Below are 7,283 nucleotides of genomic sequence, written 5' to 3' on the forward strand. Positions count from 1 at the left end.
GTCAGGTAATGTGATTCCTCCAGTTTTGTTCTTTTTGATACCTTTGGCTACTCTGAGCCTTTTGTGGCTCCAAAAAATTTTAAGGTTGTTTTTTCTATTTCCGTAAAGAATATCATTGGTATTTTGATAGGAATTGCACTGAATCTGTAGATTGCTTTGGGTAGTGTGGACATTTTAACAATATTGATTCTTCCAATCCATGAACATGGAATATTTTTTCATTTTTTGGTGTCCTCTTCAATTTCTTTCATTACTGTTTAATAGTTTTCATTATAATGATCTTTCACTTCTTTGGTTAAGTTAATTCCTGGGTATTTCATTTTATGCGTGGCTATTATAAATTAGAGTAATTTTTAAATATATTTTTCAGATTGTTCACTGTTGACTTATAGAAATGCTACTGATTTTTGTATGTTGATTTTGTATCCTGCAACTTTACTGAATGTGTTTATCAGTTCTAATAGTTTTCCTGTGGAGTGAATTGTTTTTAGATTTTGAATTATAAGCAGTTACTGAGTTGCAGTATTCCTAGATGCAACAGGCAACACCATGAGAGGTGATGTACAGGCATACACGTGTATGCACACATGTGAATATATATATTTTGATATCCACATCTATATATATGGAAAATACCAGCAACAGTATGTGATAAAGAAAGGCAAAGATATTTACATTGAGGCAGATTACTTGTAAATTTATGTATTTTGTTGTTCTGGTTTGAAAAAGACATGATTATTCATATATGCAAACCATGGCTAAGAAAAAAACATTGTGCATCTTAGGACCCGTGAGCTGCCCTTCAGTGCCAAAGCAGTTATTGCTGGAAGTTATTCCTCTGTCTCCTCTCCTTACAGGCTTACTTCCTACTTCCCTGAAAGAAAGTTTGAGCTGTATTCATGTAGGCAGAAAAAGGAACTCAAAGAGTTCAGGCTCTCAAACCTCTTTGACTTGCCTTCAAATCCAAACTAAACCATGGCTAAGTTGCCATCTCTAAGGTCAGTTTACCTTCTGGCAAAATAGGAATCTTGAGAGCACCTGTTGTAATGAGGATCGAATGAGATAACATATGTAAAGCACAGAGCCTAGCACATAGTAGGCACTTAAAATGTTGTTGGTGTTTTTTTTTTTTTTAAGAGTTGAAATTTCATGCTGTCACCCAGGCTGGAGTGCAGTGGCACAATCACAGGTCACTGCAGCTTCAAACTCCTGGGCTCACACAATCCTCCCACCTCAGCCTCACAAGTAGCTGGTACACGCCACCATGACTGGTTAGTTTTTTTTTCTTTCTTTCTTTTTTTTTTTTTTTTAGAGATGGGGTCTCACTTTGTCACCCATGCTGCTCTGAAGCGATCTTCCCACCTTGGCCTCCCAAAGTGTTGGGGCCAGGTGCACAACATCACACCTGGCAAATTATTATTTTTAAAACTTTTAGCAGAAACAGAGTCTTACTATGTTGCCCAAGCTGGTCTTCAACTCCTGGCTTCAAGTGATCCTCTTGCCTTGGCCTCCCAAAGTGCTGGGATTATAGGCATGAGCCATCACGCCTGGCCAAAATATTGATGATTCTTGTGTGAGACAGGATATAGGCTCTAGCTGCTGCAGTGAATAACAAACACCCAAATATTTAAAAGGCATAAACAAAACAGAATGTCATTTCTTCTCACTCAGAACTGATACGGAAGCTCTATGGTGTTAGACACTCAAGCTCCTCTTGTTACTTTGCCATAATCTACTGGTAGCTTCCTGTGACTCTAAGATGGCTGCTCCAGCTTCTGCCATCTTATTCACACCTCGGCAATGGGCAGGTGGAAACAGGGAGGGTAGTTATTCATTCATTCTTTTCTGGCTATCTATTTTTGTGTAATAAATCAAAAAATTTAGTGACCTAAAACAATTAATCATCTCTCATGGTTTCTGTGGAACAGGAATTTGGAAAGGGCACTCCTAGGAAGGCTTGTCTCTGCTTCACAATGTCAGGGGTCTCGTCTGGGAAGATTTGAAAGTTGGAGGTGAATCAATGGCTGAGGGCTATTGCCATCTGTAAGCTTCCTTAACTCACATGTCTGATGGTTGATGCTGGCTACCATCTTTGACTTCAGCTGGGGTTGTTAGCCAGAACACCTACCTGTGGCCTCTCCATGTGGCTACTTGGGCTTCCTAACTGAATGATGTCTAGGTTCTAAGAGAGAGCCACCTAAAGAGAACCAAGTGAAAGCTTCAGCACCTTTTTATGACATAGCCTCAGAAGTCAAACAGGGTCCCTCTACTGCTCACAAACCTGCCCAAATCCAGAAGGGTCATAAACCTCACCTCTCAATAGGTGGAGTGGCAAAGTCACAGTGTAAAAAAAATCATGTGGTATGGAAGATTGTAGGGGTTATTTCTGGAAAGTACAATCTGTGCGAATTTCACCTGTGACTGATATAGCAACTTCGTTGTAGGAGTTATTTGTTCAGTCATGGTTGGAACAGATATTTTTTGAGTGTTATTATATGCTAGGCACCATTCTAGGCTCTAGGGATACAGTAGTGGGGAAAACAAAGTCCCTGCCCTCATCATAGTTGTATTCTAGTAGGGGAGACAGATAATAAATAGATGTTACATACACCACTGGATAGCGATGAGTGCTGTGAAGAAATTCAGGCAGAGTAAGGGTGCAGAAAATGACACAGTGTAGATGTTATTTAGATAGCATGGTAAAACAAACAAACAAACAAAAAAGACTTTTCTAAGGAGATGACATAGGAACAGAGACCTCAGAAGTTACATGAACCAGCCATGCAGGAACTGAAAGAAGAGCATGATAGGCAGAGGGAACTGCTTAAGTAAAGATTTGAGATGGAATAGGCTTGGGTTGTTCACAGCACAGCAATAAAACACATATGACCGAGGACAGGTGCCATGGCTCACTCCTGTAATCCCAGCACTTTGGGAGACCCAGGCAGGCGGATCACCTGAGGTCAGGAGCTGGAGACCAGCCTGGAACATGGTGAAACCCCATCTCTACTAAAAATACAAAAATCAGCCAGGCATGGTGGTGGGTGCCTCTACTCCCAGCTACTCGGATGGCTGAGGCAAGAGAACTGCTTGAACCCGAGAGGTGGAGGTTGTAGTGAGCCGAAATCATGCCACTACACTCCAGTTTGAGTGACAGAGCAAAACCCTGTCTCAAAAAAACAAACAAACAAAAATGTGACTGGAGTAGAAAGATTCTGTAGGCGAGTCAGAGCCTACTCACAGAAACATTAGACCAAGATAATGAGTCTTGATTTTTTTTTCAAGGAATTTTTAAAGCAGTGAAAGTGATGAAGCATATATATATGTTCATTCTGGTCACCATGTGGAAAACAGATTGTGTAAGAGGGTAAGAATGAAAGTAGAGGTTATTCCCCTATCCAGGCAAAAGGTAACAATAACTCAAATAGGAGAGTAACCCTGGAGATGGGAGGAAGTGGCCAGATCTGGAATCTGTTTGAAAGGTAGGATCAACAGGACCTGCTGATAGATTGGATGTATAGTGTGAAAGAAAGAGGGGCATGGAGGATGACTGTTAGGCTTGAGGATCTGGTTTGCATTGGAAGTTTCCTTAGCACCCCAAAGCTAGAGGCAATATGGTACAGTGGTTCATATCCCTTGACAGAGACTCAGGGTCAAAGCATAAAGACTGAGACACTCTAGCAGTGACCTTGAGCTCCTCCCCTCCCCACAGTCCAAGGGCAGAACTGGCCCTATGCACTGAAGTTTAGCTGGCAGGGGAGGATTAAGTTTCTCAGGTGAGGAGAGAGGAAGGAAGCAGGTGGGTGGGAAGCAGAAGTGTTGAAGGTTATTTTTGCAGTAGCAGTGGCACAAGGGAATCAGGTACTCCCAGAGCAAAGCACAATGGAGTCCTGAGGAAATCAGGCCTGATAATTCCCTCAGAATCACAGCTTTTGCCTTTTTATGCTAGGCACCCAGTGGGCACTCCCTAAACACCATTAACCACAAAAATGATGTTGTTGACTGGGCAGCACTGCCACTCGTTTGACCAATTATTTATGATCATTCAGCTGATTTCCCACTCTTGTTAATAGTCTTCAATTTTACTGCAAACACAATTAGGACACACCAAACCCAGTGGTTTACCACCACAAAATTAGATCTCATCTACCACTGGATGCCTTTATGCACTAAATTTATGGCTAACAGACCCACTAACAAAGTTCCAGGCAGGGTTCCCCTGCCTGCAGATGTAGACAGTTGTAAGAAAAGTCTAGACTGGAGTCAGCCCTACCAGTGAAGGATGGAGTTGACATCCTCTTTCTCAGCAACTTTAGTCCACCTGCTTGCTTCTTCCTCACCATTGTATTGTAACCTTCATATATATATATATATACACACACACACACACACACGCACACACACACACATATTTATGATCAGCTTGCATTATAGCCTTTATATACACACACACACACACACACATATATATATATGTATGTATATAATATAGTTTGAATATATGTCCCTGCCACATCTCATGGTGAATTGGAGGTGTTGGAGGTGGGGCCTGGTAGGAGGTATTTGAGTCATGGGGGCAGGTCTTTCAAATACCTGGTAGGAGGCATTTGAGTCATGAGGTTAACTCAGTGGTGAGGTCTTCCCAATGGTGAGGCCATTCTCATGAGATCTGGTCATTTAAAGTGTGTGGCACCTCCCCCTCAACTCTCTCTCACTCATGCTTTTGCCGTGTGAAGTACCTGCTCCTACTTCGATATCCACCATGAGTAAAGGCTCCTGAGGCCTCCCAAGAAGCTGAGTAGATGCTGGCACCATGCTTGTATATTCTGCAGAACCGTGAGCCAATTAAACCTCTTTTCTTTATAAATTACCCACCCTCAGATATTTCATTATAGCAATGCAAGAATGGCCTAACGCCACACACACACACACACATACACATTTCTTTTCAAATCTCAATTCATTCAGAAGGGCAGTCTTCTTCCAATTTTTGCTCTCTCTCTTTCTCCCATCACCTTATGTTTCATATTCAAGTCAAATTGAGAAAAAAGGTTTGAAATTACATCCTTTTCCAAAGTCATACAATTGAACTTTTCCTCTTTAGGTCTATTTTTCACTTTCTGGATTTTCCCCTAGGGTGTAGTTCTTCAGTATAGTTATGGAATGCTTTTTCTTGATATCAAAATATTTTCCAACTTAGAGCCTACACATGTAACTATCCTTCTCCACCAACCCCAACAGATAGAAAACAAAACCATGGAAAGTGCAAATCCAAAGTGAATATTAAGGACAGGCTGGCTTCCCTTTGTATCACACTGTGCCCACTCACCTCCACCCCAAACTCCTTAACTCATGTATAACCTGGGAAAGCAATCTCCTGGGAATAATTCCAGAACACATTTAGAGCAAAAAAAGAATGGTGAATTCTCTAAATAATAATATCCAGAGCCAACTGGAAAAATATTTTGCATAACTCAAACACCCTTGATTAGTACAGCTGATCAGTATTTGACTTATATTTCTTTGAGACATTTAACCTACAGATTTTCTTTCCTACCTTAACGACCTGTCAAACACAATTTTGTAAAACCATCCCATGTGTGACAGATAATCCCAGGACTTTCTCCTAGATGTGATGCTCTAAGCCTTTTTTCTAGGGCTTCGCTAGGCTTCATTTAACTGTTTCTGGTTTTATTTTTAAGTCATCAATGAAGGTACACTTTATCTTATTAAAATGGATTTATTGTATATTTTGGAGTGAGTAAACAACTTGCTGATTCTCTAATCTTAGAGACTAAAGACTTGGTTATTTTAACAAATTGAGACTCTAGTCCTCACTCTCTTCTTACTTTCCTGATACCTAAGAAGTACCTCTTACTAACTCTACTAAACTCTCACAGTCTTTTAGACCCTAAGTCTCACTTTATTTATCAATTGCATGTCAAAATAACAGTAAACTGAAGGAAAAAACACACAACATCAAATCACACTTTCTGCAGACTGATTGTTGTGGTTTTAAAATGTCCCACAATTTTTATATTTTTTATATTCCTCCTTTGCATGTAGACTGGACTTAGTGACTTGGTTCTTCTGCAGATAAAATATGCAGAAGTACCTGCATGTGACTTTCAGGATCAGGTCATAAAATTCATTGCAGTCTCCCCTTTGCTCTCTCGTGGAACACTTCCTCTGGGGTGTGGGAGACCAGAAATGCCTCCCTAAAATTTGAAAGACTGTTGAGCTGAAGACTATTAGGAAGAAATAGATGCAGGAGAGCTATCTACCCTCCCTCTGTTTGTCTGAAAGCAGGACATACATTTACATAGATTTCCCTGCTCTCTACCAGGGAGAACAAAGGTTAACCACTGACATCAGCTTTAGACACCCAAAAGCTAGATGATACTAGATAGCCAGATGATACCAGAGGAAGACAACAGCCAGATAATACCAGATAGCCAGATGATACCAGAGGAAGAGAACAGCCAGGTGATACCAGAGGAGTTAATATTAACAAGCATTATTAACAAAATTTTATCTGCCATTTGATTGCCTTCCTCCCAAGTTGCTGCCTGTTAAGACTCAGAGTCCTCTGCCTTGTTACTTCTCTACAAATGTACTGTTTTGTTGATGATGCTATAGAAGCTGGAATTCAAAGCCACCTCTTTGAGAACTATTCATTCCTGGATGTCTCCCATGCATTTGTGAAATATATACATTAAGAAACTTTTCTTTGTTTTTTTCTTGTTAATCTGTCTTTTGTAACAGAGGTCCATTCCAGTTATGAACCTATGGGTATTATTATTTTCCCCCACAAAAGAACAAGCTATCATGTTATGAAGACACTCAAGCAGCCCATTGGAGAGGTCCACATGATGAGGAACTGAGGCCTTCTGCCAAAAACCATGTAAACAAACCATCTTGGAAGTGGATCTTCCAGCCCCAGTCAAGATTTTAAATGACTGCAACCCTGGCCAATGTCTTGATCACAATATCATGAGGGACCATAAACCAGAGCCACCCAGTTAAGCTTCTCCATAATCTTGCATCCACAGAAACTGAGATAACAAATGTTTGTTGTTTTAAGCTGGTAAATTTTGGGATAATTTATTATGTGGTCAGGAGTTCAAGACCAGCCTGGCCAACATGGTGAAACTCTGTCTCTAATAAAACTACAAAAATTAGACGGGCGTGGTGTTACATGCCTGTAGTCCCAGCTGCTCAAGAGGCTGAGGCAGGAGAATTGCGGGAACCCGGGAGGCACAGGCTGCAGTGCGCCGAGATCG

This window comes from Homo sapiens, chromosome 3, assembly GCF_000001405.40.
Source record: "Homo sapiens chromosome 3, GRCh38.p14 Primary Assembly".
Taxonomy (NCBI): Eukaryota; Metazoa; Chordata; class Mammalia; order Primates; family Hominidae; genus Homo; species Homo sapiens.